This window comes from Homo sapiens, chromosome 15, assembly GCF_000001405.40.
Source record: "Homo sapiens chromosome 15, GRCh38.p14 Primary Assembly".
Lineage (NCBI taxonomy): Eukaryota > Metazoa > Chordata > Mammalia > Primates > Hominidae > Homo > Homo sapiens.
In genome coordinates, this window is record NC_000015.10 from 60521293 (window position 1) to 60533755 (window position 12463).

Consider the following 12463-nt stretch of genomic DNA (forward strand, 5'->3'; position numbering starts at 1 on the left):
GTGCAGTGGCATTACCTCGGGTCACTGCAACCTCTGCCTCCTGGGTTCAAGTGATTCTCCTGCCTCAGCCTCCCGAGTAGCTGGGACTACAGGCGTGCACCACCACACCGAGCTAATTTTTGTATTTTTAGTAGAGACAGGGTTTCACCATGTTGGCTAGCATGGTCTAGATCTCTTGACCCCGTGATTCGCCTGCCTCGGCCTCCCAAAGTGCTCGGATTTACAGGCGTGAGCCACCGTACCTGGCCACAATTGTCATTTTTATAGTAAATATTTTTTAAAAGCTCCCCGAAGACTTTGACTTCCTTTTGTTAAGAACCAGAGATTGATTCGAGTTTTCTGATTTGCCAAAAACAAAAATGAAGTTTAGAATGTTAAATGACTTGTCCAAGGTCCCATGGCTGGGACTCAATCTCTTGTCCTGATTTTAAGTCCAGTGCCCTCTTACTTATATGTATCTTCTTCATTGTGGGACAAACAAAACAATGTCACACATTCTCGATTTCCTGACACAGAGTCCCTACATATCCACCTTTTGTTTCAATTCCTACTGTCTCAAAGACATCTCTCCAGTGTTCCTCCCTTATTTCACCTAGCTTTTCAAAACGCCTTGTGCTTTTATTTCTGATACGTGTCTTACCTTCTCTGGAAATTCTATTCCCTAATACTTTTTCTTTAAAAAAAATGACTGTATACTATGAATTTTTCACTGATCCCATTAGATGGGCGCTTGGCAAACTGGGACAGAGGCCATGGTGTTTAGGAGAAGGCTCATACCAGGTTGCAAGAGCTGAGTGCTAAAATGTCAGGAATTTTGTTATTAAGGCTAGTTATTAAATCTGTTATTACACATTAACTGATGCATTCCTGACATAAAAAATTAACTACTTTTTAATGATTATTTTACTGTTATCAATGTTCTTCAGGTTGTCTACATCAATTATCCTTATATCTGAAGGTGGAAATACTATACCATGCTGTGCATCCCTTCCCTACTCTGTATTCTGTGAAAGAGCGGGTCGGGTGGCTTGAAAATGGCCATTGGTGGGATTATTTACACCACAGAAATTGGCAAATGTTACAGATCAGGGTTTGATTTATTATTTTGCTTTATTGTCTAGATTTAAAAAGTGATGGCCCAATGCAGTGGCTCATGCCTGTAATCCCAATACTTTGAGAGGCTGAGGCAGGAAGGTGATGGCCCAATGCAGTGGCTCATGCCTGTAATCCCAATACTTTGAGAGGCTGAGGCAGGAGGATCACTTGAGGCCAGGTGTTCGAGACCAGCCTGGGCAACATAGACCCTGTCTCTACAGGAAATAAAACAATTAGCCAGGTGTAGTGGCATGTGCTTGTAGTCCCAGCTACTTGGGAAGGTGAGGTGGGAAGATTGTTGGAGCCAGGAGTTTGAGGGTGCAGTGAGCTATGATTGTACCACTGCATTCCAGCCTGGACAACAGAGTGAGACCCTGTGTCTTAAAAAAAAAAAAAAAAAAAGACCAGGTGTGGTGGCTCACACCTGTAATCCCAGCGCTTTGGGAGGCCGAGGTGGGCAGATCACGAGGTCAGGAGTTCGAGACCAGCCTGACCAACATGGTGAAACCCTGTCTCTACTAAAAACACAAAAATTAGCCAAGCTTGGTGACAGGTGCCTGTAATCCTAGCTACCCAGGAGGCGGAGGTTGCAGTGAGCCGAGATCACACCACTGCACTCCAGCCTGGGCAACAGGGCGAGACTCTGCCTCAAAAAAAAAACACAAAAAAAAAAACTGATGAAAATTATAATAATGCAGATTAAACTTAACAGTACATCATATCCAGTGCTCCCATTGTGAATAACATAAAAAGTGGAAGAAATGTTCTTCTGGTATTTGAAAACTATTAACTGAGTCAGCAAGGAAGTGGTTCATGTCATTGTTGGCGAATGAATGAAGTTCCAAAATGTCTTCGTTGTTTCACTCCCTTCTTAGTCATTAATGTAAACAAAATATCAACCAACATTCATGTTGGAACTAGTCTTTCCTCAGTTGTAACCATGCAGATAGATGTAGGAGTTCAGCAAAAATCATGAGAGCATTCAGTGAGAATCATTTGTCTATATGAAATTTAAAATAAAGAATATTGTATATTTTATTATTGTTTGAAAATTATGTGAAATTATATCAATGAGATAGATACCAAAGTTATCTACATACAGATAGACACTTTTTGCTTTCCAGAGAGCCAGTTGTTCACAGCTTACCAGCATGTGGCTGGCCTGAGCCTCATCCTTGCTGTGTCACCAGCTCTCCATCACGTTGTTTCAATGCTTCCCCCTGACTTTGGATAGGCATTCACCCAAAGTTGTGGTTTGGCCTTCTAGAGCCCCCATTGACTTTCTGGAACAGAATATATATATTTAGAGATACGGTCTCTGTCACTCAGGCTGGAGTGCAATGGAGTGACCACGGCTCACTGCAGCCTCAACTTCCTGGACTCAAGTGATCCTCCCACTTCAGCCTTCTCAGCAGCTGGGACCACAGGTGTATGCCATCATGCCTGGCTAATTTTTAAATTTTTTGTAGAGGAGACAGGGTCTCGCTTTGTTGCCCAGACTGGTCTTGAACTCTTGGCTTTAAGTGATCCTTCTGCCTAGGCCTCCCACAATGCCGGGATTACAGGCATGAGCCACTGCACCCGACCTAGAAGAGAATGACCCACAGCCTGTTTCCCAGCTGTCCTCTCCAGTGTTTTCTTGCTCAGTGACAGGCATCATCTTTCCCTCAGTTACTCAAGGCAGAAAGATGGGCTTCACTTAATCTCTGCCTCCTCCCCACCCATATTCAAGCATCACCAAGTTAGGCTGCTTCTTGGCACCTTCCTATTTCTCAGATCCATCTACTTGTCTCCATCTTTACTGCAGTTTTCTTAAGTTTCCATGTCTTTCACTTCTTGAGTTGGTTATTATACAACCTTCCAATTGGGACCCCTGCTTCCATTCTCATTCCCTCCAATCCATTTCACACAGTTACTAAAGATATCTTTCTAAAACATCAAACTGATCAAGTCACTTCTCTGCTGATGAGCCCTTAATGGCTCCCTGCTGATGACCAGGCAATGACCACATGTCCGGGCAGCTCTTCTCAAAGTCATAGAATGACCAAGCGTAAACTTCTATCTCCACAGTTCCCCAAAGAAACTCTCTCCTTCCCTTCAGGATTCACTGAGAAGACATTCGGTTGCTCTGGGAACCTCTCTGACCTGGGCCCTCTCAAAGCTGGTTGAGGGGCCCCTCCCATGTGTACCTTTAAGAGTCCTGTATTTATCCCCCTCCTAGCCCTTACCTTGTTGTATTATTAATGTCTACCTTTTCCAGGGCCTGACTGCCTTGTTTCTTTGTTTCCAGTAGCTAACCCAATACTTAGAGAAGTCAATAAATACTTGTTGAACAACCAGAGGAAAAAATGGTGGCAGTGATAAAAACAGTGGTGACGATATGCTGAGCACCTGCTCCCTACTAGGCACCATGTTGGACACTTTGCCATCATTATTTGCAATCCGCAACAACCTACAATTGGCAAAGTAGGGATATGTATATCTGCTTTACAAATGAGAAAGTTAAACTTAAGAGAGGTTAAGCCGTGTGCCCAAAGTCACAGAGCAGGTAAGGGGAGGGCCCAGGATTTGAATTCCTGAATCCTAGGTGTATCTTATTCCAAAGGCCATAGACTTCTTAATACACCACCTAAAAAGCACCAAGACAAACATGTAGGGCCGACTGAATAACAACAACAACAACAAAAGATGAACAAACAACAAAACAAACACGCAAAAAAACACTTTTCAATTTCTGTAGTCCGAGTTCCCTACAATGGTTCAGATGAGGGAGATGGCATTTTATAGGGTATCAAATACCAGGTTTCCATACAGGTAGGAAAGCACTCATTTGTCAGATAAATTTTAAAAGCCTGGAAATATGCCTGGCACTTCCTACTGGAGTTTTAATAGTTTTGTCTAAGTTCATGGGCTGGCTGGACGCTGCACTGTGGGTGTGGCTGGGAAGGTGAACGGGGGTCTGATTCTGAGTTGTCCCCTCCTGTGTGGGGCTCCTTCTCAGTGAAACAGAGGCTGAAATGCTGATCTGATGTTTGGTCTTTTGACAATTTTCACTTAATGAATTGATTCCTACAGTTCATTAACATACCCACTTCCACTTCTGTATACACATATGTCTTAATTAGCTGCTCATTGGCTGTTTAATTACAAGAAAACAGCTGACAGCTGCCTTGCTGAATTCTAATGGCAGACGCTTTGGAACGGCTACACACTTGCTTTTGACAACCAAGATTTATTCATAACTCTGTGATTTATTGTGAATGCTCGTATGCCTGCCCAAATTATTGTATTTTCCAGTACAACTAAAAATTTGGAATTTGGGGGACTGCTGAAGTGGGTGTATGTCTACCTTTCATTTTACGTCTGAGACTAAGAAAAGTAGAGATGAGAAAAGCAGAGAATCTTCTATGTAGAAGCATGTACTGTGTTGCAATTTTATTTATCTTGGCAACTTTCTGTTGAGAATGTTCAGAAGCATGGGGGTGAGAAGGAAGAAATATCTCTGGATCAGTGTGGGCCAAAAGTTAATTATCTGGCTAGAGGGGGAAAAAGAGGATAACTTCATTTTATTGAGGGGTAAACATAAAGGGCATGCATGGATTAAAATCAAGCAGATGAAATTATAAAATTAAAGTTGGGTGGGGGTCAGAAATAAGAGTCCTCAAAGAAGCATATGAGGAAAAAAAGTTGTTCTTTAGAAAGAGCAGGCGGCCTCATTCACGAAAGTTAGCTGGTCCAGCCCTATACTCATACATCTGGCAGCAATAAATCACAGAAATTCAGATTTCCTGAGCTACGTTTTTGTTCAGTAGTGACTGGCCTCCCTGTAGAATTGTATGCGCAAGTGGTCTCTGATTAAAGCTGCCCACGTGTCATATTTGGTAAGTGTCGATATCTGCTTTTGACTGTGCTTTGCCATACTCAGATCCAATACAAGTGAAGACATTCAGCAATGGTTATTCCCAAGCACGCACGAGGGACCTGCCCCAAGCCAGGTGCTGTGTCAGGGCCCTATCTACAACATGGCTTCGAGCCAGGCGTTTTCTGTGAGCTGAGGAAGGGCAGCAGTTACTGGGACATGATTAAGATCTAAACAAACAAATAAAAAAAAATCTGAATCATCTTGATGCAAATTGGGTTTTAACACAGCCCTACCACTTGCGCATTTCATCACAGGACTGGAAGATTTAGCTAAACAAAAATTTTCGCTTACTGCCTGTGTATAACAGAACCGAAACTCAGGCATCGTAAGGATGCAATAACAGCTTGTCCTCCCCCAGGTGGAATTTTCATTTTAAATGCCCAGCTCTAATACTGGGGCCACGTATTAAAATAAAAATGAGCATGAATGTATCAATGGTGAAAAGTGGACAGAATTAGTTCACGACTAGCAACATTTCACAACTGAGATAATAATATTAGAATCCTCTAAAAGATAATTTGAGCCTAAAAGGAACATTCATATAAAGCTGCTTTTTAACCTAAACATAAAAAGCTCCAGAAATGGCTTTAACTACTTCAGTGGGGGAAGGTGTCACTTATATACTCTAGATATTTTTGAAAAGCCTTTTTTATTGTTTAAGAAAATATATTTGTTAACGCAGAGACATTGTCTCAAATTATCTTTAGTGGGTAGAAGAGGAAGCTTTGAATAAGACATCATCTTAAATGTATTGATTGGTAAGTGTATATTGGACAAATGAATGCCAGTTTGTTCTTAGTGTTATCAAGAGGAAAAGGTTTTAAATGTAATCAGAAACCAATTCACTAACCCCAATACTGGATCGTGCATTATCATTAAAAAACTTGCAGTTAAAATTGTGTAGCCAAAATATCTAAAAGGATATGGATTAAAAAATGTATGTGTGTCTTGAGATCAAATGTTCACCCTCATCATCTGAGCAGCCACTGTATCTCATGATGAAATTAGGAACAGAAGTTGAATGGCAAACAAGATGATTTCTCAAAAGCAAACCTTAACCAATGATTATTTTCCTCCTAACACTTCATATTTTTATTCACTTTGAAGATTGAACTTTAACATCTACAGCCTCTAGTGTTACCATGGCCTTTTCTTGTGCTGGCATGGGGCACGACCTGCCCCTCCTTCCTGGCAGGCCTGCCCCAGCTCACGTTATGCCCCCTCATCATGCTCACCCAAGGCTGAAACTAAATTCTTTTCCAAGAGCTCAGAAATGTCTGTATGAACAGAACTAAAAACCTTGCAGGCCTGGATTCTAACATATGTTCTTCCGAAATGCAATATTCAGGCTGAAGCAGTGCCAATACATTGTTCCCTGATTCTTTCAAGAGAACAAGTAAAATACGTTTATAATAAAAACCTTGGCATAATGGAGTCCTTAAAAATTTGAGGATGGTGTGCCTGTCTACCCTCATCTTCCACTAGCCACAGAAAGTGACCCTTTGCTTCAATCAAACTGAGTTATGTGCTGTCCCCTAAATACAACCAAGACTGCCCTTTTTCTGGGCTTTTGCCTCTGCCATTCCTTGTTCTCCTTCTTCCTCAGCACAGAATGCCCTCCCAGCCACCTTGACTGGGAAAATCCTTCCTCAGCTCCAGCCCACGGTTGGTTCCTCCTCAATGAAACCTTGCTAGGCCAACTCTCCTTTAGACCACCTAGGTATGCTGTCTAGTGGATATGTGCTTCTTTTTTCTTTTTTTTTGAGACAGGGGTCTTGCTCTGTTGCCAGGCTGGAATGCAGTGGCACCATCATAGCTCACCAGGAGCCTTGAACTCCTGGGCTCAAGCAATCCTCCTGCTTCAGCCTTCCGAGTAGTTGGGACTTCAGGCAAACACCACCATGCCTAGCCAGTTTTTTTTATTTTTAATTTTTTTGTAGAGACAGAGTCTTGCTGTGTTGCTCAGGCTGGTCTTGAACTCTTGTGCTCACATCTTCCTCTCAGCTCAGCCTCCCAAACTGCTGGGGCTACAGGTGTGAGCCACTGTGCCCAGCCTATATGTGCTTCTTATGTATATCATAGATTGTGGCCTTACTCTATATTAGTTCTTGCATTGCTATTTAGCTTTCCCTACACAGGCCTCATCTCTACAACTAGACCATAAACTGCTTGAGGGAAAGATGTGGTCTTCTATGTCTTTGGATCCCTTACAGTGCTTACATAGTGCTTGGTCCCAAGGGAGTGCTCATAGTATTCTTTTTTATTGGCAGATTCTACATAACACATTGCAAATGGTCACAACAATCAAGACTATATCCATAGATGTCCCAGAAATAATATCTGACTATACAGAGCAGCATTACCAAGCCACCAAGAAGTCTGCCTAGTAATGACAATGATAACAACAGCTAACACTTAGTAAGTGCTTGTGATGCATCTGGCATTCTTCCAGGTACTTTCCTTAAATGCATGTGACAACCCTATGAAGTTATTACAATTACAGTCCTCATTTTACAGATGGGGGAACTGAGGCACAGAGCAGTGGTATAGGTGCTCAAGCTGGTAAATAGCAGAGCTGGGATTTCAACTCGGGCAGTCTGGTTCCAGAGTCAGAGCAGAAGCATGGCACCTGCTGTCTCTCTACAGACAGCAAAGGGGTTGGGGAGAGGATGAACTAGGAAGAGCCAGAAATGACAGAAAGAGCTACTAAAGCTTCTACCATTTTTGCTGTTCATGTGCAATGCTTAGCAACTATGTGCCAAAATAATTATTTCAGCAATTAAACAGGTCCTCTAGTTTCTTATGGTGTCAGCTTGTTAATTTAAAAATGCAATTTAAAATACGTTCACAAAATGATTAGCTCAGAAGATGACTGATCACCTTTCTTCTCTCATTAGATATCTATTTGATATGTCTAATGTGAAATTTTTCTTATGTTTAATTACACTATCTCAGCAAAGTTATTTACAATTGATCATGATAGAACCACCTTTACCTGGTTAGAACATGATAAATAATTAACATAAAATGGCAAAAATAGAAGTCTTTTGACTTCTATTTTTATAACTAGGAATAAAAGTGTTAGTTATAGCAGAGAGAAATTATAATGGAGAACAAAGAGTATATGTATCAAATATAAACATGAAACATTGTTCAAGTCCCTGGCTAGGCATAGGCCCAATCTGTTAATAAAATTATGTTTTATTTATTTTGTGGTTTTCATTGGATAAAGTCAACAGAGCAGAGGAACAGAGCCACAGATAACTGAAAACCACTTTGGCACTGAGGAGGTATGCAGACAAGATCTGGAAGGGAATCTAGAAAAATGGCAACTTTGGAATAATAGATACCTTTTGTTTTCTTATCGCTTTTATTTTTGTCATGATAAATATTAAGAGTAAAAAGAAAATTCACATTGTTTGTGCCATGGTACTCAGTCAACTTAGGTTTTACTCAATAGCATGTTGTTAATTAATCTTCCAAATTGTTGGGGTATTTCATATGAAGTAGCCCCTACCCCCACCTTGTCCTTTCCCCAGACTCCATTCCTAGATAATCACTTCTGTCAATTCCTAGATAATCACTTGCCTTACTGACAGATTCAGAGGAAGCCATCAGTTTTTTGGGCAGAATGAAGGGACAAATGGTGAACTGGTATCCGGGATGCTGCCTAGAACCCTGTCCATTTAAGAAGACACCCAGGTGATACGCAATGCACAAAAAGCACTGGAACTCCCAGCAGGCAAGCACTGCAGTCTATAAACCCTCTATTGAGAAAGGCCATGACATGTCTACCAGGGACACAGATTTGGGAGGCAGAACACAAGACAGGGTGAGGGTGAAAAGCAATGGCTACCTGGCCACGTCAGCCAAATCAGCTCCAAAAATCAATGCGATGACAGTGGTCACAGGCAGATCACTCTCACCTTATAACCTGGGATGGCACAGACCAGACAGATTATTTCATTTTGTTTTTTCATTATTTTTATTTACTTTTTTGGAGAGAGGGTCTCACTCCATTGCCCAGGCTGGAGTCCAGTGGTGTGATCATAGCTCACTGTAACCTTGAACTCCTGGACTCAAGTGATAAACCTGCAGCTGTCTTCCCTGAGTAGCTGGGACTACAGGTACACACCACTACACCGGGCCTCTCATTTTGCTTAATTTATTTAATTAGTCAACTAATTTTGAGGGAGGGCAGATTTTGGAAGTAAAGGGCATAGATGGTTCTGTAGTATGCGGAAATCTGAAGCTTTGCTAAGATGGGATCAACATGAAGCATCTGTACATGTACAAATTAGCAAATGTTACCATGACTAACAGTAAAATGAAGAATTAAGGAAATTATAAGGTTAATTTCCTTGAAGTCTCTCAGTAGTCATTTGTGTCTATAGGTGATTTTGTATTTTACAACATTGTATTTTCTAATTTCATGAAAGGAAAGCTAACCAAATTCGTGGATTTTATTTTTTGCCTCAGCCTCAAAAAGCCTTAGGGCTGATTCAGGCCTGGTTGTAGCAATCGGCTGTCTCAAAGGCCTCCTGCATGTTTAAATAGCTTCTCTCCTGTTTATTTTGCACTGTTTTATCCTGTAAGCTGTCTCGAGGCCCTTCCAATATAAGCATGAGGATTTAAATCTTAATAAATTGAGATTTGAATAACAGAGGTAATCTGGGCTTGGGGGGTCTTGAATTATTGGGATAAACATCTCTGTTTCTCATCTGCACATTATGCATGTGCTGTACACATTGCCCCATGACCAAGGTCAGAAATAATAAAATAGTCATAGCAGAAATAATACTGATAATATTTAGAGTTAAATAGCACTTTTCTGTTTGTAAGGACTTTTTTATGTACAGGTTCTCCTTCTATTCTTGGAATAGTCCTAACCAGTAGAAAGATCAGGTGTTATACCCACTTTAAAAATGAAGCAACTGAGTGACAAAGAGATTAAGACACATTCAAAACAATATGGACAAGTGGAGGCAATAGGACTGGAACTCAGGTCTTCCTGATAGCTTTCCCACAATTTTGCCAGATGTGTTAACATTATGTGTGCTAACAATAAGACTCAACTCAGTGACATTCCAATTAAACTTACTGGAGATGTCTTTTTATAAGCTTATGACAGGGACATTGTAGAAGTCTGGAGTTAGCTCTTTTTTAAAAAAGATTGCCACAGAGATTGCTCATGAGTTCAACTCTGGGGTTGAAAGTGATAAACAAGCAATGCTCAAATACCTTTTTGTAATCTCCTATTATTTTGAAGGAAGGAGTAAAAATATATATAACTTCTTTAATTGTAATTTAACACCAAAATATTTCTTCTATCCTGTAATTTCTTATCATTCAAAATTCTAAGGAGTTGAATTTTAAGACATAAGTGGAGACATACAAATCACAAAGATATATTCTAACAAACATTAATAGAAACAACAACAATTAAAAAGGCTTACCTTGCAGCCTTCACATGTAATGACACCATAATGGATTCCTGATGATTTGTCTCCACAGATCTTGCATGGAATAATTTCAATTTGAGCTGCAACAGAAGCACGCAACCAGTTAATTACATTTTCTTTTAAACACCTTATAAAAGCGTTCCCTGATCAGCATTTGTATAGTGAAAACTAATAACCTGCTAAACATTATACTGCATTAACTATTCATTGCTGAACTGTGAGGGTCCCCCTAGAGCCCTGGACTAAATTATGGCTGCTCGTTATATAATAGCTTTCGGGTTATTAAAATGGGTCATTTGAGAAGGTGTTTAAGAACCCACAAGAAGACTGGAATCAGCATTTCAAAGCCTTCAAGAACTGGAGAGTTCGCAGTTTAGGCCTCAGAGCAAAGCAGATACTGAAATGTTTCCTCCAATCTCATTTTCTATCATTATTTTTAAAAGATCATAAATCTGTCTTGGCTGAGCATTACAGCTTGACTGCTAGAGAAAAATACACTCTAAAAAGTCAGGTCTAGTTAGGAAAATGATTCAATTCAAAATATTAATCAGTTACATATGATAAGAATTCCTTATCTTTTAAAAAATTAACGCAGTTGCCATGTGTTAAAAATTAGTCCATTTGTGTACAATCAGAACCTTTCAACCATAGAGTTAATATCTTGTTTGAATTTAATAATGATGAATCCTGACAAATAGGATGTGTTGCTTCTGAGTTCTTTACACTGGAAATTTAGTTCCTGGTACAGAGGGCATGTGTTTCTACCCAACTGATTACTTAAAGATGCCTCATGCTGGAAGACCCGCAAATAACATGTATCACACCAAAGTTCTCAAATAAGGCAAAGCACATTTCTAAGCAAACACATTATACCTCAGAGTTAAAAAGAGCATAATTAAGGATAAAAAATAAGGAATAATTAGGCAAAAGAAAATCCTTAGATCAACTATTAAATAGAATTTATATGTGAAATAAAGACCAATGCTGAGCTGTATAGACAGGATGGGAACAGTCACCAGTTTACCTGGAATGTGTCATTACGCTAAATTCATTTTCCATGGTTTTCACTACTGGGTATCATGTTAGATTACCTACTGAGTTACACACACAAACACAACTGCAAGTGCCCAAGTCTATTTCATTTCTGTACAGCCCTTACCTAGCCCCAGACCTTACACAGAGTAATTTCTTTGTCCAAAGAATATGTCACATAGTGTAAGTACCACACAGAGACACACAGCCCACTCTTTCTTCTAATGTAATCCCATATCCTGGGATGATTTCACAACCACTTACTTTGGATTTAAGGTGATGTTGCATTCGATACTTAGAGCACACATGAAACTATTGGATTTAACCTCATTATAAACCATGTGTACTGCTAACTCCCTTTCTCAGGGCCTAATACAAGTACTGTGGTGACTTTTAGGGAGTGCAAGCTATTCTAAAAGCTATCCATCATTTTTTTAGTGCTTGCATACTGAGTTTCTTTGCTGTCCAAATTTAGAGATTGTTCCAGATCTCACATCCAGTGTATTTTCTATACTCTGGAGGCTTTCTAATACCCCAATAATGGTGACTTTGGACACTAATAGGTATAGTTTGAGTTAAGCAACTTAAGCAAGTTAATATGTTTAAGGTTGCATTCAACAAAAGTTGTCATTTGCAAGTCTGCCTCATGTTAACACTTGGCTTGACTTCTTCAAGAAAAATTCTTTATGAAATATGGTATCTAATAATGTCTCATACTGCACAGTCCTTCCATTATGTTTAATATAGTCAAGGCAAAGGTTTGTGCCACAGATCTGCAACTCTAGAGAAAGCGAGTTACGCCTAACATTTTTCAGAGACGTGGAAAAGCCAAGTGGAAGTAGAGAAATCCTGAAAGGTGCTATCAGCTGAGAGTTATTGCCTGCTTTTCCCTACATGAATTGAGTAGGCTAGAATGAGAACCAGCCTCCTTACCCTGATTCCTAGGAATGTA

General features: G+C 40.1%; 1 protein-coding gene and 1 long non-coding RNA gene across 14 annotated transcripts in view; one reads left to right on the forward strand and one right to left on the reverse strand.

Annotated features, from left to right (window-relative positions):
• The window catches only part of RORA-AS1 (RORA antisense RNA 1), a 151462-nt gene that overhangs the window by 42115 nt on the left and 96884 nt on the right, over positions 1-12463 (forward strand). The window contains exons 5-6 of one of the 4 annotated variants that reach the window (NR_120339.1): positions 7288-7435; positions 8594-9675. The exons of 2 other annotated variants lie outside the window; for them this stretch is intronic. This is a non-coding gene — a long non-coding RNA (RORA antisense RNA 1). Of the gene's footprint in view, positions 1-7287; positions 7436-8249; positions 8436-8593; positions 9676-12463 lie in introns of those variants that run through there. One more of the 4 variants, NR_120340.1, reaches the window with a different exon arrangement.
• Positions 1-12463, reverse strand: part of RORA (RAR related orphan receptor A) — a 741019-nt gene that overhangs the window by 33009 nt on the left and 695547 nt on the right. For all 10 annotated transcript variants that reach the window (NM_134261.3, XM_047432928.1, XM_011521875.3 and 7 more), the window contains one exon: positions 10474-10559. In NM_134261.3, coding sequence (NP_599023.1) covers positions 10474-10559 — 86 coding nt within the window. The remainder of the gene's footprint in view (positions 1-10473; positions 10560-12463) is intronic.